Below are 25,851 nucleotides of genomic sequence, written 5' to 3' on the forward strand. Positions count from 1 at the left end.
AAGAGAGACAGCAATGCAAGGAGTTTTAAACATAGACATGATTTGATCAGATTTGCCACTTATTAGATGACACAATCTGTCGTAGCACTGTAGCTGATGGATTGGATTTGGAGGTCAAGCATAGACACTAGAGGCTGGGCTCAGTGGCTCACACTTGTAATCCCAGCATTTTGGTAGGCCTAGGAGGGAGGAGCACTTGAGCCCAGGAGTTTGGAGGTTGCAGTGAGCCAGGATTGTGCCACTGTACTCCAACCTGCACAACAGAACAAGACCCCACCTCCAGAAAAAAAAAGAGAGTGACTAGGGTTCAACTGCAGTGGTTCAGTGGGAAAATAGTGCTGGCAGTGGAGAGGTAGGAAAAGACAGATTCAAAATATATAATCTAGGCCTCGTCAGTAGGATCTTGTGATTTATTAAAAGTCAAGGATCCTTGAGTATAAGATCATTTTGTTTTCTTTCTTAAAGACTTTTTCAGTCCTATGGTTTTAGTTTGTGTTCAGTCTTTTTTTTTTTAATAGTTTGTTTTCCTCTGGTAGAAAAATCAAGACAACTTACATTCAAATGTGGAGGAAATGGACTGCTTCATGCAGTACCTTACAGGAGGCAGTGCTTCACCATTTTCACATACTGTGCACCACACAATCACTCAGTTCTATCAGTTCACAAAGAGGTAATCAGAATCCAGCAGACTGACTTGTCAAGCTGGTCAAATGCAAGAGACTTATAAATTGGAATTCCATTGTGTTCATTTACAATAAATACCTAAGCCCAATTACAGAATTTACCCAATATCGTCACATGATTCTCCCTTTTTCCTATTAAAAAAGTAATAAACTAGCATTCAGAAGATTGTATGTTTAGCAGACACTGAGAATAATGTTTCCAAATGTCTGAAAAGTGTTAATCTTCTGGATGCAAGAATAAGACATTGGGCCGGGCATGGTGGCTCATGCCTGTAATCCCAACACTTTTGGAGGCCAAGGCAGGAGGATCACCTGAGGTCAGGAGTTCAAGACCTGCCTGGCCAACATGGTAAAACCCTGTCTCTACTAAAATTACAAAAATTAGCTGGGTGTGGTGGTGGGTGCCTGTAATCCCAGCTACTCGGGAGGCTGAGGCAGGAGAATCGCTTGAACCTGGGAGGTGGAAGTTGCAGTGAGCCGAGAAGGCCACACTGCACTACAGCCTAGGTGACAGAGTAAGACCCTGTCTAAAAAAAAAAAGAAGAAGAAGACATTGGTACTCAAGATTTCTTGAAACTTCTCAAAACAACAAATTATTTGTAAAATGCTTCCAACATTCTTCATACTCTTTTCTTCCTATTATGAATAGCCAAAAGTTGTTTAATAAATAAAAAGTTATATATTTTAAAGCACTCACAAATAAGTAAATCCTATAGCAAATATTCGAACTCTGGTAAACACCAATGAACATTAATGATTTATATGTAAGCAACATGACACTCAAATCTTGTAGCAAGATTAATAGCACTACACAGAATCACACGGAAAATGCCAATCTAAGGACTTACTTTCTTGCTACACTTGTTATTTCTTGGAACACCACTGGTAGGATTTATAGAAAGTATACTGCATATTTGAAGTTATTAATTTTTTTATTTTTAGGCATGGCTCACTGTTAGTAGCAGACAGGGCCACAAATTTATGCTTACACCATGGCAACAGCTACAAATAAAACGGCCTGATTAGCTCCACCCAGCCCTTGTCTCATTTCCAGATACGTCAGTCTTAACTTCTGACTCCATGAATAAATATTTCCTGCGTCTGCTCTTACATGACCACAACAGATGCCCTTCTCTATGTTGATAGTTAAGCTTTAATTATACTATTTTATGAAAAACACTGATCAGAGTGGAAAATGCATTTCTTAGGGCCCACTACTCTGTTTGAAAATTATAATGCAAGTGTTTATCAATGTGAGTTAGACTCAAATACCACTTACTTACCAACTACTAAGCAATGGACATAATGATCAATGCCAATGGTTCAGTTGTCACTTCTTAGATCAGAGAAAATGAAATCAAAACCCACTCTCTTTTCATTCCTAGTAATATACTTCAAATTTAAAAATAATTTTATAAACTTGAATTTCCATTGTCATGTTTGTTTAATTTTCCCACATGATTTGAATAAATTTTGGTCAATAGTGGTTCTCTCTCACACTCTCTCACATTGCTTTCTCTCATCCATTTCTTCTCAAATTCTGATGGATAGGACTTTGTTAAATGTGATGTAGGTTGATAGTATTCAAACTTTTGCTCACAAATTTACTAAAACTATTTTGTAAAAATATGTGACTCCATCACACATTTCAAAGTTAATGTCTCAATTTTTTATCATAACTTTATAGTTGTAAAGGACATAATTTTCAGTAGAATGTAAAAATTTACATTTTAAAATAAAACTGTCAAATCATTGTTTTAAATATATTCAATTAGATTTATTTATTTATTTATTTATTTATTTATTTTTTCGGACAGAGTCTCGTTCTGCTGCCCAGGCTGGAGTGCAATGGAGTGATCTCGGCTCACTGCAACCTCCTCCCCCTGGGTCCAAGCGATTCTCCTGTCTCAGCCTCCCTAGTAGCTGGGATTACAGGCGCCCGCCACCTCATCCGGCTAATTTTTGTGTTTTCAGTAGAGACAGGGTTTGGCCATGTTGACCAGGCTTGTCTCAAACTCCTGACCTCAGGTGATCCGCCTGCCTTGGCGTCCCAAAGTGCTGGGATTACAGGCGTGAGCCACCGCACCCGGTCTATTTATTTATTTTTGAGACAGGGTCTTACTCTGTCACCCAGGATGGAAGTGCAATGGTGCAATTACGGTTCAGCGCAGCCTCAAACTCCGGGGCTCAAGTAATCCTCCCACCTCCGCCTCTGAGTAGCTGGGACTATAGACATGCACCTCTACACCTGGCTAATTTTTGTAGAGATGGGGTTTCGCTATGTTGCCGAGGCTGGTCTTGAACTACTGGGCTCAAGCAATCCTCCCACCTCAGCCACCTAAAGTGCTGGTATTATAGGTGTGAACCATCGCGTCTAGCTTCCGATGAAATTTAAATACATAATGATTTGATATAAATTTTCATTTGTATAAAAATATACAAACTAGTCTTCCATATTGCCCAGAGCAGAACTTGTTTCTGTAACAATTTATAGGAAAACATCATGAATCCCAAAGCCCTTGATATTCTGCAGGTAAAAGAGGAATTGTGCCTATTCCTTCCGGCAGGAGCTCATTTAAGTACAGATGGAATAATGTGACATACAAGTGGACCACAAACACAGTATCACTAATCATCAGAAAAATGCAAATCAGGGCCGGGGTGGGGGTCGGGGGAGAGTCAGGTGTCGGCGAGCTGGAGCTCGGTGTGCCGGCACCCAGTGACTGCTGGCGGCCTGGGCTGCTGGGGCCGACGCCTGGGTGGCTGCCGCCGCCGCACCTGCTGCGAGATAGTGATCTTCGTCGCGGAAGGGTGAGGGCGCCCACTGCAGGAGGAGGTGCAGGTGCCGCGGCCGCCTGGCTGCCGGGAGCCGAAAGCTTCGCGCCTGGGTTGTGAGCTCCTTGAAACAGGGAATCGTGTCTTACTCATCTTTGTATCTCCAGTGTCTAGCAGTTCCTGATACATAGTTTTAGCTGAATTTTGGAACATGGCCACTGCCTCACCAAAGTCAGATACTACTAATAACCACAGTGGAAGGTTGCAGTTACAGGTAACTGTTTCTAGTGCCAAACTTAAGAGAAGAAAGAACTGGTTCGGAACAGCAATATATACAGAAGTAGTTGTAGATGAGGAAATTAGGAAAACAGCAAAATCCAGTAGTTCTTCTAATCTAAAATGGGATGAACAGCTAACTGTAAATGTTACGCCACAGACTACATTGGAATTTCGAGTTTGGAGTCATCACACTTTAAAAGCAGATGCTTAATTAGGAAATGCAACGACAGATCTGAAACAAGCTCTGTTGATACACAATAGAAAACTGGAAAGAGTGAAAGAACAATTAAAACTTTCCTTAGAAAACAAGAATGGCATAGCACAAACTGGTGAATTGACAGTTGTGCTTGATGGATTGGTGATTGAGCAAGAAAATATAACAAACTGCAGCTCAACTCCAGCCATAGAAATACAGCAAAATGGTGATGCCTTACATGAAAATGGAGAGCCTTCAGCAAGGACAACTGCCAGGTTGGCTATTGAAGGCACGAATGGAATAGATAATCATGTACCTACAAGCACTCTAGTCCAAAACTCATGCTGCTCGTATGTAGTTAATGGAGACAACATACCTTCATCTCCATCTCAGGTTGCTGCCAGACCCAAAAATACACCAGCCCCAAAACTACTCACATCTGAGCCTGCCGATGACACTGTTAATGGAGAATCATCCTCATTTGCACCAACTGATAATGCTTCTGTCATGGGTATTCCAGTAGTGTCTGAAGAAAATGCCTTGTCTCCAAATTGCACTAGTACTACTGTTGAAGATCCTCCAGTTCAAGAAATACTGACTTCCTCAGAAAACAATGAATGCATTCCTTCTACCAGTGCAGAATTGGGATCTGAATCTAGAAGTATATTAGACCCTGACACCTCTAATTCTGGAAGTAGTTCTGCTTTTGAAACAGCCAAATCAAGACAGCCAGATGGGTGTATGGATCCAGTATAGCAGGAGTCTGGGAATGCCAACACAGAAACCTTGCCATCAGGGTGGGAACAAAGAAAATATCCTCATGGTAGAACCTATTATGTGGATCATAATACTCAAACTACCACACGGGAGAGACCACAACCTTTACCTTCAGGTTGGGAAAGAAGAGTTGATGATCGTGGAAGAGCTTATTATGTGGATCATAACACCAGAAGAACAACATGGCAGCGGCCTACCATGGAATGGGTCAGAAATTTTGAACAGTGGCAATCTCAGCAGAACCAACCTCAGGGAGCTATGCAACAGTTTAACCAATGATACCTCTATTCAGCTTCAATGTTAGCCGCAGAAAATGACCCTCATGGACCTTTGCCACCAGGCCGGGAAAAAAGAGTGGATTCAACAGACAGGGTTTACTTTGTGAATCGTAATACAAAAACAACCCAGTGGGAAGATCCAAGAACTCAAGGCTTACAGAATGAAGAACCTCTGCCAGAAGGCTGGGAAATAAGATATACTCGTGAAGGTGTAAGGTACTTTGTTAATCACAATGCAAGAACAACAACATTCAAAGATCCTTGCAATGGGAAGTCATCCATAACTAAAGGTGGTCCACAAATTGATTATGAACACAGCTTTAGGCGGAAACTTGCTCACTTCCGTTATTTGTGCCAGTCTAATGCACTACCCAGTCATGTAAAGATCAATGTGTCCCGGCAGACATTGTTTGAAGATTCCTTCCAACAGATTATGGCATTAAAACCTTATGACTTGAGGAGGTGCTTATATGTAATATTTAGAGGAGAAGAAGGACTTGATTATGGTGGCCTAGCAAGAGAATGGCTTTTCTTGCTTTCACATGAAGTTTTGAACCCAATGTAATGCTTATTTGAGTATGTGGGGAAGAACAACTATTCTCTGCAGATAAATCCAGCATCAACCATTAATCCAGACCATCTTTCATACTACTGTTTCATTGGTCGTTTTATTGCCATGGCACTATTTCATGGAAAGCTTATAGATACTGGTTTCTCTTTACCATTCTACAAGCATATGTTAAGTAAAAAACTTACTATTAAGGATTTGGAATCTATTGATACTGAATTTTATAACTCCCTTATCTGGATAAGAGATAACAACATTGAAGAATGTGGCTTAGAACTGTACTTTTCTGTTGACATGGAGAGTTGGGGAAAAGTTACTTCACATGACCTGAAGTTGGGAGTTTCCAATATTCTGGTGACTGAGGAGAACAAAGATGAATATATTGGTTTAATGACAGAATGGCATTTTTCTCGAGGAGTACAAGAACAGACCAAAGCTTTCCTTGATGGTTTTAATGGAGTTGTTCCTCATCAGTGGCTACAGTACTTCAATGAAAAAGAATTAGAGGTTACGTTGTGTGGCACACAGCAGGTTGACTTGGCAGATTGGCAGAGAAATACTGTTTATCAACATTATACAAGAAACAGCAAGCAAATCATTCGGTTCTGGCAGTTTGTGAAAGAGACAGACAATGAAGTAAGAATGCTACTATTGCAGTTCGTCACTGGAACCTGCCGTTTATCTCTAGGAGGATTTGCTGAGCTCATGGGAAGTAATGGGCCTCAAAAGTTTTGCATTGAAAAAGTTGGCAAAGATACTTGGTTACCAAGAAGCCATACATGTTTTAATCTCTTGGATCTACCACCATATAAGAGTTATGAACAACTAAAGGAAAAACTTCTTTTTGCAATAGAAGAGACAGAGGGATGTGGACAAGAATGAATGTGGCTTCTTATTTTGGAGGATCTCTTGCATTCAAATACCCCAGCCAAGAAAAATTGCACATAGTGTATATAAGCTGTTCATTCTGTACAGTGAATTTTCTGAACCTCTCAAAGTATGTTTTCCATTCTTCCACAGCAATATGCAAAACATATTTCATCCTTTTCTACTTTATTTGTTGTCCTTTGAAATGATTGACCAGGAAAAAGATCATCCTTAAATTTTGAAGCAAGTGAGAGACTTTATTAAAAATACATATGTATCTATATAAGCATATGTGATAGTGGCTCTAGTTTTATAGAGTTGCAAGTGTATTAAACATGACAGCTGTTCATTCATAAAGATCTGGATTTGCTTTACCTTGTTAATATTATCTAGGCGAAAAAGTGCAAATTGCTCCATGTTCTTCTCTCCCTTGTGTAACATCTCCTGAGGGTGTTTATTTGTATGTCTGTTCAGGAAGGTATTAAGGGCTTAGGCCAAATCTTACTTTGAGTATGTTAAAAAAAAAATGCTGCTGGCTTTTCTGAAGACAGGTGCTTGAACCTGTCAGTTGGTTTTAAATAAATAGTTGAAAATTTTTCTTTCTCTGTTACATCAGTAATATTGTCAAAGTAATGGATAAAACCATAACTTACACATGAAAGTCATATACCAGATCTGATACTATTTAGTTTATTATCAAAATTGGAAGGATTCATTGAGCAGCAAAGAAGTTTGTTTACATGATACTTTGAGATGCTAGATATTTGTGGAATTAAAAAGAATCAGGCACTGCTGTACTTTGTTTTTAAATCTGTGATTTTTTCAAATTTAATTCATAATAAATTGATGCAATTTCATACCTAGGAACATATAAAAGGTAATGTGAACTCTGCCACTTGTTTTGTGTTCAAAGTTTCGGTTTTATGAAGCCAGATGGATTGAAGAGTTACATAAGCATTTGAGTGCTCTAATATGAGGCTAACGATTTTCTGTTAGTGTTTGAATATCTTCATTCCTCTCAAATTCATAACAGTTCTATTTATCTGAATTAAATAAGCATATTAAAAAAAAGAAGTGACATTTATCAGCCTCTGGAATTCAATGCTGTTCTTTTCTTATGTTTATATCTTTGCAAGACATAGATGAGCTGAAGCCTCCATTTTGTAGGTATTCCATAAAATCTTATGGTGCTTTGTGGCTTGCAGGGAAGATTAACCACCAACAAACAACATAGGTAGATATCACAAAATAGTAAAAAGGGTAAAAACAATACATTTGGTAGCATCAAAGTACTTATGGATAGATAGAATATTGACCAAATGGGAAGAACTGAAAGGTGGAATAAATTATAATGTCTTCTGTTCCAAAAATGAGGAAGATTATGCCTTCCTTTCTTTTTCTTAATATTTCAGATGGATACTTCACATAACAGCATAACTCATCAATTCCATATTGCCATAAAATTAGTCCATACCTAAATTTTCATTTCGCTTTTGGATCAGAACAACAACAACAAACTATGATAGCTAAATATTTCAAATAATACTACCAAAGCAAGGGAAATTACATTGATACAGACACATGTATATCATGCTGGCAGTGTTTTAAATACATTCCATATTTTTTGGAAATAACTTTTTTATCACATATTTGTGTAGTATTTTCAATTATTTTTCTTGGCTTTAGAAGTCACATTTTGTTGAAATTAATAAGGCATTTATTAGTGGGGCTAGTTTTTGTTCAAAGATTCTGAGATGGTATCAGCTACTGATAGGTAATCTATCTCATCATTTTATAGAAACAGAGCAATTTCAATGGAAAACTATTAGGAGATCTAAACCTGATAGTTTTTGTAGTAAATTTTGTTTGTGAAATTTTAAACTTCTACTTCTCTAACTTATTTTAAAATTTACAAAATGGTTTCAAGAAAAAAGACCAAATCTTAATACATCTCTATAGTACTTAACTGAATTAGAAACCCAGCAAAAATAAAGTACAAGATTTCATGATATTATTATATGGCTATGTTCTTTCAAATTAGTCCTGAAACAAAAGGAAAGAATTTTCCTCCACTGTATCATTAGCTGCCCTGTCTGCCTACCTGTGACCTTTGCTGGTGACCTGCAGTTCTGGCTGGAAAGGGGAGAAAAAGAAGTAGAAATTTTCAGTTCAGGGCTGGTCCTTATAAAATTTGTCTTTCTGTGCCTCTCAGCAGCTAGCTTGCTTGCTCTCTCTCTCTTTCCTCTTTCTCTTTCTTTCTTTCTTTTTTCCTTCCTTCCATCCCTCCTTCCTTCCTTCCTCCTTTCCTTTTGTTTTCTTTCTTTCTCTCTCTTTCGTTCTTTTCTCTCTGTTTCTCTCTCCTTCCTTCTTTCATTCCTTCCTCCTTCCTTCCTTCCTTTCTCTCTCTCTCACTTTCATTCATTCGTTCATTCCTTCATTCGTTCTTCACTGTCACCCAGGCTGAAGTGCAGTGGAACAATCATAGCTCACTGCATCTTCGACCTCCCAGGCTCAAGTGATCCTCCTGCCTCAGCCTCTCAAGTGGCAGGGACTACAGGCATGCACTATCACACCCAGCTAATTTTCTTTTTTTTCTTTTTTTGTGGAGATAGGGTCTCACTATGTTGCCCAGGCTGGTCTTGAACTCCTGGCCTCAAGCAATTCTCCTGCCTCGTCCTCCCCAAGTGCTGGGATTACAGGCATGAGCCAGTGTGCTTGGCCAGCATATTTTATTTTCTTAAAAGAGGCTCATATCCTTAATTCCCACATGAACTTGAACTCATTGTTAACGATATCCTAGGTTGGGTCAGGCAAAAAACTTCATACTACAGCAGATGACATGGAATGAAAGTCCTGATGAGAAGCTCAGTTCCAACAATGACTTTTGGCAAGTCCTGTTACCTTTCTAGGATCAGAGTTCTCACCTCTAAGATGGGGAGGAGGGTGGCTGGCTCATCAATTCTAAACCTCATTTCTCCTGTAACACACATAACAGATGATCATGTCTATGAACAAAAAACACTCACTGAGGAAACCCAAAACATTTCCCAAGATATAAAGCAAAGAGCAAGGAGAATTTTTTTATGTTCTTTACAGTTTTGTTTTAACATAATATGAGGGGTTATATAATACTTCACTGAGAGCCAAATAAAAGAACAGCAAATGAATTTTATTTCCTTCTAGTAAAGTAGTATAATGGTTTATGTAGACCAGTTTGGTTTGACATGGCATTCCAAAAAGCACTTATGAGCTTATAAGTAAATAAAATTGCTATTTATTTCACAAGGAAAAAAATGGGCCTAACTAAATTCTTATTTTTTTCTTAATTTTTAAAATTTTTGTGGGTACATAGTTGGTATATGTATTTATGGGGTACAAGAGATGTTTTGATACAGGCATTCAGTGTGACATAAGCACATCATGAAAAATAGGGTGTTTATCCCCTCAAGCATTTATCCTTTGAGTTACAAACAATTCAACTGTACTCTTTAAGTTATTTTAAATAAATTCTTAAATGTTTAAAAAATGAATTTTGATATTTTATTATCCTCTACCCCAAGATAAACTAAATTGAGCAGATCTATGTGTTGGCATATTTAATATTCTGATATGTGTGACTTTCTTTTCTTTTCTTTTTTCTTTGAGAGGGAGTCTTGCTCTGTCGCCCAGATTGGAGTGCAGTGGCGCGATCTCGGCTCACTGCAACCTCTGGTTCAAGCGATTCTCCTGTCTCAGCCTGGGATTACAGGCTCCTGCCACCATACCTGGCTAATTTGGGTATTTTTAGTAGAGGTGGGGTTTCACCATGTTGGTCAGGCTGGTCTCAAACTGCTGACCTCAAGTGATCCACCTGCCTTCGCCTCTCAAAGTGCTGGGATTACTGGCCTGAGCCACCAAGCCAGGCCGTGACTTTTTTTGTTTTTTTGTTTTTTTGTTTTGTTTTGTTTTTTGGTTTTTTTTTGAGACGGAGTGTCGCTCTTTCGCCCCCGCCGGAGTCTCGCTCTTTTGCCCAGGCCGGAGTGCAGTGGCGCTGTCTCGGCTCACTGCAAGCTCCGCCTCCCAGGTTCACGCCATTCTCCTGCCTCAGCCTCCCAAGTAGCTGGAACTACAGTCGTCCGCCACCACGCCTGGCTAATTTTTTTTGTATTTTTAGTAGAGATGGGGTTTCACCGTGTTAGCCAGGATGGTCTCGATCTCCTGACCTCGTGATCTGCCTGCCTCGGCCTCCCAAAATGCTGGGATTACAGGCGTGAGCCACCGTGCCCGGCCGTGACTTTCTAATAGGATAATGGAGCACACAGCAGGTACTCCCTGGATCAGCGTCCTGAGACAACAGTTTGGGAAAAGCTTGTCAAGTGCTAAGAACCTAAGATTTGGAGCTAGAGACCTGTGGCTTGGTCCTAATTCTTCCACTCACTGTGTGATCTTCCACAAATCACTTGACTTCTGAGGTTTCAGCTTTATCATATGTAATCACGGATAATTACACTGTACCTCTAGAGATTGTAGTGAAACAAAAGAAGCTAGTAATTTCTTAATGACTAACATATTGTTGTTGGATGATAAATGCTGTCATTAGAACCTTTTCTTTCTAGTTTTCACTAGAAAGACAGACTCTTATTTCTACTATAAACAGACCCAGCCTGATACCACATCTGAAATATCCTCCTACTGATCTGGAATCATGAAAATATTCCCAGTACTAAATTTTTAATTCCATTTAATGAGCACATATTAACCACTTCCTTTATACTATGAAAGTACATGATATAAGAATAAGACATCATTTTAGCCTTTGAATTTCTTACAATCCAGTTGCCACAGTTTACTCTGCAGTCTTAATTTAAACTCCTCAATGCTAATGCAAAAGTTATATTAATTTCACCCCACTTTTTTTTTTAGCAAATTCTTATTTAAATATATAGAATGAAGATATGGCCAAATAATAAATATAGATGGGCATTTGCACCAACATTCTACACAATTTGTAACTACATTTAGGAAATGAGATAAGCCATGCTTTTAAAGTTTTCAGTATTGTCTTAATTACCTGGGGAAGTTATAATCAGCTTTAAAACAACAAGGAAAGAAGAAATTGTACTGCAAACAGGAAAAAAATAAATGTAAGAAAGAAAAGTAAGGGAAGCAGCTCATTGTTTTTATTTAGAAAAGTTGTAAAAGCATGTTTCATTTTGGTTTAACTGAGAGTTAGCAGTATTTCATCTTTTTAATATATTTTGACAAACAAAAGTTGTGTATGTTTATTATGTACAACATGATGTTTTGATATATGTATACATTGTGGAATGGCCAATTCAAGCTAATTAACATACACATTATTTTACTTTTTTTGTGGTGAAAACACTTAAAACCTACCCTCTTAACAATTTCAAGTATACAATACATTGTTAACTATAGCCATCATGTTTTACAACAAACTTTGGGTCTAACCGAAATTTTACGCCTTTGACCATCTCTACAACCTCCTCCGAAGTGCCTTGAAACCACCATTCTAGCCTCTGTCTAGTCTCTGGTCTATGAGGCTGACAATTCTACATATAAGGGAGATCATGTGGTATTTGTCTTTCTGTGTCTGACGTTTCCCTTAACATAATATTCTCTAGATTTATCCTTGTTGTTGCAAATGACAGGATTTTATTATTTTTGAAAGCTAAATAATATCCCATTGTGTATATATACCACATTTTCTTTGTCCATTCGTCCACTGATAGATATATTATAATACTTAAGTTGATCCCTTAGCTTGGCTATGGTGAATGATGCCACAGTGAACGTGGGAGTGCAGAAACTAATTTCATTTAGTGGAATTGCTGGATTATATGGTAGCTCTAGTTTTAATTTTTTGAGCAACCTTCATATTGTTTTTCATAATGGCTGTACTAATTAACATTTCCACCAACAGTGTAGAAGGGTTCCCTTTTCTCCACATCCTCACCAACATTTGTTATCATTTTTTTTTTGATAATAGACATTCTAACAGGTATGAGATGATATCTCATTGCAGTTTTAGTTTGCATTTCCCTGATGATTAGTGATGTTGAGCATTTTGTCATATACCTGTTTGTTGTTTGTATGTATTCTTTTGAGAAATGTGTATTCAAATCTTTTCCCCATTTTTTAATCAGGTTATTTGTTTTTTTATTATTGAGTTGTTTGAGTTCCTTATATATTCTCTTTCAATCTCTCAAAATATATTATTGAACTGTACTCGCCTATTTTTGGACTGTGATTGACTACAGGTAACTAAACCATGGAAAGCAAAACTGCAGCAGATAAGGAGGGACTACTGTACTCAATAGTGAAGAACTGAAAGCTTTTCCTCTAAGATCAGGAACAAGCAAGGATGTCCACTCCTGCCACTTTTATTCAACATAATACTGGAAATCCTAGGCAGAACAATTAAGTAAGAAAAAGAAATAAAAGTCATCCAGGCCAGGCATGGTGGAAGCCAGGCGAGGTAGTTCACACATATAATCCCAGCACTTTGGGGGGCCAAGGCAGGTGGGTCATTTGAGGTCAAGAGTTTGAGACCAGGGTGGCCAACATGGCGAAACCTCATCTCTACTAAAAATACAAAAATTAGTTGGATGTGGTAGTGTACGCCTGTAGTCCCAGCTACTGGGAAGACTGAGGCAGGAGAATCGCCTGAACCTGGGAGGTAGAGGTTGCAGTGAGCTGAGATCATGCCATTGTACTCCAGCCTGGGCAACAGAGTGAGACTCCATCTCAAAAAAAAAAAAAAAAAAGTTAAATTGTCTCTGTAGATGACATGGTTTTACGTATAGAAAACCCTAAAGTCTCCACCAAAAAAACTGTTAGGGCTGATAAAGGAATTCAGGACTGTTTCAGGATACAAAAATTAACATAAAAAGCAGCATTTCTATATACTAACAAACTATTTGAAAAAAGTTAAAAGAATAATTTCATAATACCAAAAAAAAACCCTTAGGAATAAATTTAACAAGAAAGTAAAAGACTGAAACCTATAAAACATTGATAAAAGAAATTTTAAAAGACACAAATAATTGAAATGGTATCCCTTGTCCATGGATTAGAAGAATTAATAATGTGAAAATATCCATGCTACTCAAGGTAATAGAGAGATTCAATACAATCCCTATGAAAATTCCAATGACATTTTTCACAGAAATATAAAAACAATCCTAAAAGTCATATGGAACCACAAAAGACTCTGAATAGCCAAACCAATCTTGTGCCAAAAGAATAAGCCTAGAACAACACACTATGTGATTTCAAAATCTACTATAAAGCTATAAGAACCAAAATAGCATGATGTTGGCATAAAAACAGACACATAGACCAACGGAACAGAATACAGAGTCCAGAAATATTTCCTCTTTAAAATATTAACTTTTGGCCAGGCGCAGAGGCTCACGCCTGTAATCCCAGCACCTCAGGAGTCTGAGGCGGGTGGATCACGAGGTCAAGAGATCAAGACCATCCTAGCCAACATGGTGAAAACCCATCTCTACTAAAAATACAAAAATTAGCTAGGCATGGTAGTGTGTGCCTGTAGTCCCAGCTACTTGGGAGGCTGAGGAAGGAGAATCGCATGAACCCAGGAGATGGAGGTTGCAGTGAGCAGAGATTGTGCCACTGCACTCCAGCCTGGCAACAGAGTGAGACTCCGTCTCAATAATAAATAAATAAAATAATAAAATATTAACTTTTATGAAACTTCCTATTACACAGGGGAGAAATAAGAAATACTAATTGAGCTTTTCTAAAATTATAGACTATATCGTGGATATTAGACACTCAAATACTTATGTTAAATCACGGTAGGAGCTGGAAAGACCAATAAGATATGTGTGAACTCAAGAGTTGCTACTGGCATAAAAATTGATGCACTATTTCTAGCAATATATAGCAAGAACCCTAAAAAGTTTGTAGCTTCAACGTTATAATCCCAATATTGGAAATTTAAAGAATAAAAGCTTTATTTATACACCTTTGTAAAACAGCGGCATTTGTAAGAGCAAAGCCCTTGAAACAATCTGATTGTGTAGCAGCTACACAATGGCTGATTAAACGACAGGTGTCATGAGGAAATTTGTGCAACCACTAACAACACAAATACAAGATTGTAGAAAAGTGAATGCAAAACTATCTTAAGTACAAACAAGGGTAAAGTGATTATGACTAGGCAAAGCCAATGCATGCATGTATACAACTGAAAAAGCCATGTAGAGATATAAATAATTCTTTAATATGAAAGCATTTGTTTATTTTAACAGCTTAGTGAGATATAATTTACATGTCATAAAATTCATCTGTTTAAAGTGTACTATTGAATGGTTTTAAGTACATATATAGACTGCTTATTTTTAAAAATGACTTAAACTTTTTTTTTTTTTTTGGTGAGACAGGGTCTCACTCTCTCACCCAGACAGGAGTGTGTTGGTGCGATCTTGGCTCATCGCAACCTCTGCCTCCCAGGCTCAAGTGATTCTCCTGCCTCAGCCTCCTGAGTAGCTGGGATTACAGGTGCACACCACTACCACCCGGCTAATTTGTGTATTTTTAGTAGAAATGGGGTTTCACCATGTTGGCCAGGATGGTCTCCAACCCCTGACTGCAAATGATCCACCCAAAGTGCTGGAGTGCTAGGATTACAGGCATGAGCCACCGCACCCAGCCAACTTTTCTTTTTTCTTTCTTTTTTTTTTTTTTTTTTTTTTTTGAGACAGAGTCTCTTTCTGTTGCTGATGCTGGAGTGCAGTGGTGGGATCTTGGCTCATTGCAACCTCTGCCTCCCAGGTTCAAGCAATTCTCCTGCCTCAGCCTCCTGAGTAGCTGGGATTACAGGCACGCATCACTACGCCTGGCTAATTTTTTATTTTTTTAGTAGAGACGGGGTTTCACCATGTTGTTCAGGCTGGTCTCAAATTCCTGACCTTGTGATCCGCTGCCTCGGCCTCCCAAAGTGCTGGGATTACAGGCATGAGCCACCGTACCCGGCCCCCAACTTTTAAGATGAGGCAAGAGATCAGTAGATCTAATTGCCTGGTACAAATAGGACTCATATTTGAATTTGTTTAAGCTCTACTGAAAAATTATTGCTACTGTGTCCATGTAGTGAACATAATTCCAAATACTATGTTTGGATCTAACATCCAAATAGATATCAAGCCAGTCCAACAAGATTTTTTTTTAAATCTGAGTCCATTACTGGCAGTAAATTTCCTCTTTATTTCCCAGCTCACATAAGGTTTGTATTCTGTCCCAACTGGTCCCAGCAAGTTTAAATGCACTATGTCTAATGTCACTTCTAGAGCCTACAGTCTCTCATACATTCTGCTTTGTTAGGAAGAAAGAAGCAACATGATATAGTTGGTTTTATCTTAAGAAAAAATGTGGAATGATGATAAACACACAGGCTTTGGATTTACACTTGGATTTGAACTCAAGCTCTGCTATTTGTTATGTACTCTGAGGCTTACTTGCCCCAGTTACCTCGTCTATAAAATAGGGCTAATGTCACTTTTTTGCAGGGTGGTAATTGACCTGGTAAATATTAAGCACTTAGCACAATAGCTGGAATGTTGGTGAGGCTCATTCCCTGGAGTAACTACTATGATGATAAATCCCTGATTAATTAGCACAGAGCCACATACACTGGAGCTTTGTTTCCCAGACCGCACCAACCATGAGAAAACCAAATAGAGGCATGAGTTACAATTAAAGAATTATTTCTGCACCCCTCCCTTTTCCTGGGACTCTCACTGTGGCGAACACCATTGCAGAACAGAGGGAATGCCCCACACACCTCCTCCTTGGTTGTCTGTGCGTGTCCACAGAGCTGTCCTGCATCAACAGTGCCACCGCCACTCATCTTCCTCTAGCACTGATGACCTGTCTCACCAAAGTGCCATCCTCATCCCAAGTATATGGTTCTGCTTTTTCCCATTCATAACTTTTGGAAAACTTCAAAAGATGGTCTTGTTCCTTGGGGGAATAACCCAGCCACACCAGCTGTGATTACAGAATCAAGTTAAACTTCCCTACTGTCTTGGCAGGAACCTCACCAACCTACTTGCTGGACATTTCCACACCTGCACACATACACATCTGCTTAAACTATACCCCAAACATTTTTGAGATTTTCCCAAAGTATTTTGGTTATAAACCCCTCAGGTTCTTTCGACAGAATTCCTGTAACTATATGTGCATAAGTATGTGTGTGAGTGTGTGTGTTTTCTTCTTAGATGTGAACTCAAACATTATTTTTTTCCTGCTCTAAAGAGGTTTGGCAAGGTTTTGACCATTGAGAGGCTGAGTTTCACTTTTGCCAAAAAAAAGAAAAAAGTTGAGGGCTTTGTTTTCAAAAACCTAGAATGGGCCAGGCACAGTGGCTCACACCCGTAATCCTAGCACTTTGGAAAACTGACGTGGGTGGATTGTTTGAGCCCAGGAGTTTGAGACCAGCCTGGGAAACATGGGAAACCCCCATCTCTTCAAAAAATACAAAAAAAAAAAAAAAAAAAGCTGAGTGTGGTGGTGCACGCCTGTAGTCCCAGCTCCTTGGGAGGCTGAGGTGGGAGGATAACCTGAGCTCAGCAGGTCAAGGTTGCAGTGAGCCAAAATTGTGCCACTGCACTCCAGCCTGGGCAACAAACAGAATGAGACCCTGTCTCAATAAATAAATACACAAAAAATCAACAACAACAACAAAAAACTAGAATGGCATCTAGGAGGTGGGTTGTTTGAAAAGGTCAGGGTTCCAAGGGTTGAGAGGGAAAGGAGTGGCCTGGACTTGAGGAAGGGGAGTGGTGGAAATCTTTTTGCACAACCTCAATGTGGTGCAGCTATGCGGGCATCCCCTATGTGAGAACAGGCAGTGGTTCCTGATCGTAAAGCTTAGTGTAGAATGCATTGTTCAGTTTGGAAAAATGAACATTTTCACGTGACAAACATAGGGTCAAGATCAGCAGTTCGTCCTTAAATTACCAAAGGCCCTAGGATTCCTGTAGAATTGTCAGTTAAAATTAAGATTTTCTACCACATAAAAATTAGATTTTCTTTCACCTTTGATGGGTGTTGTTGGGGAAGGGAGGTCAGATTGATTTTATTTGGAAAATAAAATAATGTTACATTTTCTTTACTTTGAGTGCCTGGAATAAATCACGTTGGTTACTCTCCCATTTCAGCTTCATTCAACTCATAGCAAGGATTCCTACGCTTGCTGAGAAGTACCCTTGGCTTCCCTATTATTTTGAGAAGTTGCATTCTCAAGGGATTATCTGGAAAGCAAAGACAGATTTATATAAAATTAATTATTTTTCTTTGGAGTTTATGTGATTAGATTCAACCATCTAGATTATTAAAATAGTTATTGTCTGAAAAGACAATGTGTGAACTCTGAAGCAAACTAAAACTATATACATACGGTGCAGAAAACAGAAGTTTTGGAGACAAAAAACAACCTTTGCCACCTTGGACAAGTTGTTTACTCTCTCTAAGGCTTGGTATTTTCAACTGTAAAATAAAAAAATTAAGTATATTTTTCATGAGGTGATAGTGAAGAAGAAAACAAATACATACTTAAAGGGACATAGGCTTCAAGAAATACTCATTTTATTCTCTGTTATAGCCACAATGGTTTCTTTTGATCTCCCTTTTTAACAAACCTTATTGATATATATACAGAAAAGACTATCATAAGCATAGAATTTGATGAATTATCACAGAAAGAACATATCCTAATAATCACCGTAATATCAAGAACTAGGACATCCCAATGTCAGGGAAGAACCTCCTGTGTCCGTTCTGATCATTACCTCCTCTACCTCATCCCCTAATGTAAACAATCTCCTGACTTCTATCATTTAGTTATGCCTGATTTTAAAATTTAATACATAATGAATCATATAGTCTATATCATTCTGTATCTGGCTTTTTTCACTTACCATTATGTTGGTAAAATTTGCTCTGATTTTGCACTAAACAGGAATTTGTTCATGTTCATTTTTCAAGAGATTTTCCATTGTTTGAATGTGCCATATTATATTTATCCTTTCTTACGTTGGTGAGCGTTCATGTTGTTTCCAGACTTGAGCTATTATACATAGTACTGTGTGACAATTTGTATGTATGTGTATGCATTTCTGCTGGGAATATGAATAGGAGCCAAATTGCTGGATCACGTGTTATGTGCAGGTACAGCTTTAGTATACCCTGCCATAGTTTTCCAAATTGCTGTGCCAGTTTTCTCTCTCAAACAAGTATATGAGTTCCTTTTGTTCCACAGCTCTGCACTTGGTATTTATAATTTTAAGTTTTAGCCATTCTGCTAGAGACAGATAGATTACTGTTTCACTGGGGTTTGATTTACATTTAGCTATCTTCTTTTGTGAAGTGTCTGCTCAAATGTCTTTTGAGCATTTTTTTTACTTTGTTATCTGTGGCTTTTTTTTTTAAGGATTTCTTTATATATAACCCTTCTTACTCTGTGGTTTGCCTAGTAACTATACGAAAAATGTCTTCTGATTGAAAAGAAAGTTTCCAAGTCTAACATGGCCCAATTTGTCTATCTTGTTTTTGTTTATTGGTGCTTTCACCATGCTTAAGAAATCATTCTTACCCCAAGATCGTGATAATATTCTCATGTGCTTTCTTTTAAAAGCTTTGCATTTTAACCCTTATATTTGGTATAAATCCACCTGGAACTGATTTTTTAACATGGTGTTAAAAAGGGGCCAGGATTCACTTTCTTTCTCCATATGGAGATCCAATAGACGTAGCACCTTCTATTTGTAAAGAATATTGTTTCCTCACTTCTTTGCAGAGCCACCTTTCTCACTAATTCAGTTCTGTATGTATGAGTCTGTTCAGATTCTCTATTTCATTCCAGTAGTCAATTGCTTATTCTTAACTATTGTAACATTAGGGTAAGTATTCATATTTAGTACTATAACTTCTACAACTCTTTTATTTTTCTTCAAGATTACCTTGGCTCTTCTTGTCTCTTCCATTGCTATACACATTTTAGTATTAGCTTGTCAATTTTTTCACAAAAACTGCTTGGGCTTTCATTGAAATTGCATTAGATCTATAGATGTATAGAGCTATTTAGGATGTATTTGACATATTGAAAATGTTGAGTCTTCTAATCCATAAACATGGGTTTTCTTCTATGTTTCTATGTATATCTTCTTTAATTATGCTCAATAACTTTTTTTGGTTTTTTTGTTTGTTTGTTTGTTTGTTTTTGTTTTTGTTTTTTACAGAATCTCACTCTGTCACCCAGGCTGGAGTGCAGTGGCATGATCTTGGCACACTGCAACCTCCACCTCCTGAGTTCAAGCTGTTGTCCTGCCTCAGCCTCCCAAGTAGCTGGGATTACAGGTGCCTGTCACCACATCCAGCTAATTTTTTAATTTTTAGTAGAGTTGGGGTTTCACCATGTTGGTCAGGCTGTTCTCGAACTCTTGGCCCCAAGTGATCCACCAGCCTTGGCCTCCCAAACTGCTGGGATTACAGGTGTCAGCCACCACAACCGGCCTCAATAATGCTTTATGGTTTGTGTAGAGAACCTACACATTTCATTACATTATATCTAGATTTTGCTGTTTTGATGCTATTGAAAATGTTAATTTCTCAAGACTTTAGTATTAAGAAATATAGATTTATGTATATTGGCAAGTATTCAGTAATCTTACAGATTCACTTATTAATTTTAATAGTTCACCTATAGATCCTTTTGGGTTTTTTGTACACACTAACAATTATTTATTTCTTCCATTCCAATGCTTACAACTTTTTTTCTTGATTTATTGCACAAGCTGGTTCCTCCAGAATAATGTTTAACAGAAATGATGGTAGCAGGCATTCTTATTTTATTCGTGAAATTGGGGGAGATATTTCAATATTTCACCATTAAGCATGATGTTTGTGGTAAGTTTTTTTAAGGCATCTTTATCGGATAGTCCTTTTTTATCCCTAATTTTGTAAGAATTTTTATAATGGATAAACATTGACTTTTTAAACTTTTATTTTAAGTTCTTGGGTACATGTGCAGGATGTGCAGGTTTGTTACATAGGTAAACCTGTTCCATGGGGATTTGTAGTACTGATTACTTCATCACCCTGGTATTAAACCTAGTATCCATTAGTTATTTTTCCTGATTGTCTCCCTCCTCCCAGCCTCTATCCTCTAATAGGCCCAAGTATGTGTTGTTCGCCTCTTTGTGTTTGTGAGTTCTCATCATTTAGGTCCCACTTTTAAGTAAGAACATATGGTATTCGGTTTTCTGTTCCTGTGTTAGTTTGCTATGGATAATGGCCTTCAGCTCCATCCATGTCCCTGCAAAGGACATGATCTCATTCCTTTTTATGTCTGCATAGTATTCCATGGTGTGTATGTACCACATTTTCTTTATCCAGTCTATCGTTGATGGACATTTAAGTTGCTTCCATGTCTTTGATATTGTAAATAGTGCTGCAATGAACATACACATACTTGTGTCTTTATAATAGAATGATTTATATTCCTCGGTTATATACCCAGTAATGGGATTGCTGGGTCAAATTGTATCTCTAACTTTAGGTCTTTGAGGAGTTGCCATACTGTCTTCCACAATGGTTGAACTAATTTACACTCCCACCAACAGTGTATAAGCGTAACTTTTTCTCCACAACCTTACCAGCATCTGTTTTTGTTTTTTATTAATAGCCATTCTGACTGGTGTGAGATGGTATCTAATTGTGGTTTTGATTTGCATTCTCTAATGATCAGTGTTAAGCTTTTTTTCGTGTGCTTGTTGGCCACATGTATGTCTTCTGTTGAGAAGTGTCTGTTCATGTCCTTTACCTACTTTTTAATAGGGATGTTTGTTTTTTTCTTGTAAATTTTGTTTAAGTTCCTTATTAGGCCTTTATCAGATCCATAGATTGCAAAATTTTCTCCCATTATATAGGTCATCTGTTTGCTCTGTTGATTGTTTCTTTTGTTGAGTAAAGCTCTTTAGTTTAATTAGATCCTCTTTGTCAGTTTTTGCTTTTGTTGCAATTCCTTTGGATATCTTCAGCATGAAATCTTTGCCCGTGCCTATGTTCAGAATGGTATTGCCTAAGTTGTCTCTCAGGGTTTTTACAGTTTTGGTTTTTACATTTAAGTCTTTAATTCATCTTGAGTTAGTTTTTGTATATGGTGTAAGGAAGGGGTCAAGTTTCAATTTTATGCATATGGCTAGCCAGTTATCCCAGGATCATTTATTGAATAGAAAATCCTTTCCCCATTGCTTGTATTTGTCAAGTTTGTCAAAGAAGAAAAAACATTGAAATTTTATCTCATGTTTTTTTGTTTCTATTAAATGATTATATTATTTATCTTCTCTTCTCTTTTAATGTAGTGAAATCCATTGGGAGATTTTTCTTTAATGCCAAACTAACCTTGAGCTCCTGGAATACATCTATACCTGTTCATGATGTATTGTCATATATATATATGTGACAAAACATATATATATATAAAACATTTTATTTAGGATTATTCCATCAATGACTAGCCTATAACGTCATTTTCTTGTTAAATCTTTCTCCAATTTAATATTAAAGTTGTGTTTGTCTCATAAAATGAGTTGGGAAGAGTCACCTCTTTCTCTACTCTCTTTAATGGTCCTGTTTCTTCCTAAAGTTATTTGGAAGAATTTCCCATTGAAGTGTGTGGTCCTAGAATTTTATTTTTATAATTTTAATTACAGATTCTACATTGACATAGGATTGTTTATACTTTTTGTTTGGTGTTGTATACATTTTGGTCAATTTTGATTTTTTTTGAAAATCTTTCTATTTCATTCAAGTTTCCAAATTTATTAGCATAATGTTATTTAAAACATCCTCTTATGATGTTTCTAATATTCATTGAATTAGTAGGTTTTTTTTCATTGTTGATATAATTTATGACTTATTACTCTTTTCTAGATTAATTTTTCCAGGAATTTATCAATGTTTTTACTCCTTCCAAAGAACCAAACTTTGAGTATATTCATCTTCTCTATAATAAAATTGATTTGTATTTCATTAATTTCTACTTTTATCTTGGTTATTTTCTTCTTTCTAGTTTCAATGGGTTTAATTTACAGTTCTTTTTTTAACCTCTTGAGCTGGACATTTAGATAATCTATAGATATTCTTAAAAAGAAACCCAAAACTTACAATGGACATTTTAAATATTTTCACTTAAAGCTATAAATTGTTCTTTTAAGCATGCGTTTTCATCCAATTAAGTTTCAATAGTCTGTATTTTCACCCTAATTCAGTTTAAATATTTCTATATTTTATTGTGATTATTTTGATACATGCACTATTTAGAATTATATTGCTTAATTTTCAAGCATTTGGAAATTTTCTACTTTGTTTCTTTTAATTCTCTTTTCTAATTCAGCTTTATTGAGACATAATTTAACATAAGTGTACTGATTTTAAGTATATAAGACAAATGTATGTGCCTATTTAGCCACCAACAAATCCAAGATACTGTACTTTGCCATCTACCCTAAAATGTTCCCTCATGACCTTTTGCAGTCAATTCCCATACCTCTGACCCCAGGCAAACACAATTGTTGTTTCTGTCACTACAGATTAAGATTTGCTTACTTTAGAATTTCATATAAATGGAATAATACAGAATGTTATCTTTTGTTATCTGAATTATTTTGTCAATATATGTTTTTGAGATTCATCTATTTTTGTTGTGGGTATCAGCAGTTTGTTAGCATTTATGGCTGAGAAATATTCCATTGTATGTATATGCCACAATTTATTAATTCATTCACCTGTTGATAAGTATTTGGATTTGTCTGGTTGGGGCTTTTTGAATAAAGCTCACATGAGCATTTGTGAATATATATTAGTATATTTCTTTCTGTGCACATACACTTCCATTTCTCTTGGTTAACGTGAAATCCCTGGGTGAGATGGTGTTTACTAATTACTTAGTAATTATGAAACTCTTTTCCAAATTGATTGTACCATTTTTTATTCCCACTACATGAGAGTTCCAGCTGCTTTACATCCTAATACTTGGTATTGTCAACCCTTTTAATTTTAATCATTCTAATTGTTTTGCAGTGGTATATAATTGTTTTTAATTTATATTTCTTGTGATGACTAATGATGATGAGCATTTTGCATGTACTCGGTCATTTCTATATATTCTTTTGTGAAATGTCTATTCAAATCATGTGCACGTATTTTAAACTCAGGTTGTTTGTCCTCTTATTCAGTTGCAAATATTTTTTTATATTATCTTCTCCTATTTTCTTAATGATGTCTTTTGAAGACTAGATTTTTTTTATTTTAATGAAGTCCAGTTTATAATTTTTCTTTTTTATACCTAGTGTATTTTGTGTATCATATAAGGGACCTTAGCCTACCAAAGGTAACAAAGGTCCTGTATTTTCTATAAAAATTTTCTAAATTTTCCTTTTACATTTAGGTGTATAGTCCATTTTGAGTTAATCTTTGTCTATGAAGTGAGGTATGGGTTGAGGCTTTTTTAAACCCTAATTATCTTTTGGTTACTGTTTTTTTTTTTGAATTGTGATCAGAGAATATCTTCTGCATAATTTAAATTTGTTAGAATTTGTTAAAACTTCATTTGTGGCCTATCATATTATCAATTTTGATAAATGTTCTATGTACATGTGAAAAGAATGTATGTTCCATAGCTACGGGTTACAATGCTGTTCAAATGTTCTGAATGTCTACTTTTTTTATTGCTTCATCGGTTATTGAGAGATTTGTGTTAAGATTTTCTACCATGATTGTGGATGTGCTTCATTGGTTTTTTTAGTTTAGTATGGTTTTGCTTTAAATATTTTGAAGGCTATTTGGTTAATATTCTGTCATTTAGAACATTGTATCTTCTGGTGGATTAATTTTTTATCATTTGTAGTGTCCTTTATCTCTAAGTAAATGTTTTTACCTACATTATCTGATATTAGTGTATCAGCGCTGTTTTATTTAGTGTCTGTATGGCTGTATGTTTCCATCCTTTTACTTTTAATCTTTGTGCTTTTTTTTTTTTTGAGACGGGATCTCACTCTGTCACCCAGATTAGAAGGCAGTGGTGCTATCACTGCTAACTGCAGCCTTGACCTCTTGGGCTGAGTTAATTCTCCTACCTCAGCCTCCAAAGTAGATCGGACTACAGGCATGCACCACCATGCCTGGCTGATTTTTTGTATTTTCTGTAGAAACAAGATTTTGCCACATTGTCCAGGCTGTTCTTGAACTCCTGGGCTCAAGCAATCTGCTGGCCTTGGTGTCCCAAAACACTAGGATTACAGGCCCGAGCCTGGCCTTTTGTGCATTCTTATATTTAAAATGTGTCTCTTATAAGTAGCATATAGTACTGTTATTATCAGGTCTGAAAATGATTGTTTTTTAATTAGAATATTTACTCTGATAAAATTTGATATAGTTTCTGATATTTAGGGGTTTAAATTTAGTGTTGATTCTCTATGTGTTTTTCTCTTGCTCTTTCTCTTCCTTTGTTCCTTCTTCCTCTCTTATAGCCTTTTGAATTAATTAGACACTTTATTATTTTATTTTTCAACTCTTTCAGCTTATTACACATTTTTTTTACTGTTCTCTTAGTTGTTACTCTAGAGATTACTATGTGCATTCTAACCTGTTAAAATCTGATATAAAGTAGTACTTTTATATTACTTCCAAAAAAATGCAACATTCATGAAGCACATTAAGACCATTTATCCTTCTATCTTTTGTGACTTTTGTGCTATTGTTGTTGTGGATTTTGCTCCTGCATATATTTTAAACCCACATATTATTATTGTTTATATATTTCATATTTTTAGATTTACTCATGTACTTATCCTTTCTGTTGTCCTTTATTTCATCCTATTGCTTTGTAATTTTTATATGGAACCATGTACCTTCTGACTAAAGAACTCCCATTAGTATTTTTTTGTGTGAATCTATTAATAAATAATTATGTTTTTTTAATCTCAAAAATCTTCATTTCACCTTTACTTTAGAAAAATATTTCTAACAGGTGTAGAATCCTAGTACAGTTATTTTCTTTTAGCTTTGACCTTATATTAATAGATGTTTATGGCGTACTTTCTTTTATGTTTTATGGCTTACTTACTTATTATGATGCTTATGGCTTACTTTCTTTTGTTAAGAATTCAAGTGTCAGTCTTCTTGCTGCTTTTGAAGATTATACTCATTTTTCCTCCAGTTTGTATTAACATTTCCTCTTTACCTTTGATTTTTAGCAGTTTTGGTATGATACACTTATATGTTGTTTTCTCTGTATTGAATTTGCATGGGATTTATGACTTCCTGAATTTATGCCTTGAGGTTTTGTAAAATTCTGCCATTTTGTTCTTCAAATTTTGTCTCTGTTTCATACAT

The 25,851-nt window shown here is 36.6% G+C and overlaps 1 pseudogene, besides 1 other annotated feature; it reads left to right on the top strand.

Moving 5' to 3' along the window:
• Positions 3,333-3,627: a silencer, noted in NCBI's record as "tiled region #220; HepG2 Repressive DNase unmatched - State 12:CtcfO, and K562 Repressive non-DNase unmatched - State 20:ReprD". NCBI's record gives its function as "represses a minimal TATA promoter and a strong SV40 promoter by Sharpr-MPRA in HepG2 and K562 cells {active_cell/tissue: HepG2 | K562}" and the evidence as "EXISTENCE:reporter gene assay evidence [ECO:0000049][PMID:27701403]".
• On the top strand, positions 3,338-6,935 carry WWP1P1 (WW domain containing E3 ubiquitin protein ligase 1 pseudogene 1; annotated as a pseudogene).
• The last annotated feature ends 18,916 nt before the right edge of the window (positions 6,936-25,851 follow it).

The sequence above is a fragment of the Homo sapiens genome, chromosome 3 (genome assembly GCF_000001405.40).
Source record: "Homo sapiens chromosome 3, GRCh38.p14 Primary Assembly".
Lineage (NCBI taxonomy): Eukaryota > Metazoa > Chordata > Mammalia > Primates > Hominidae > Homo > Homo sapiens.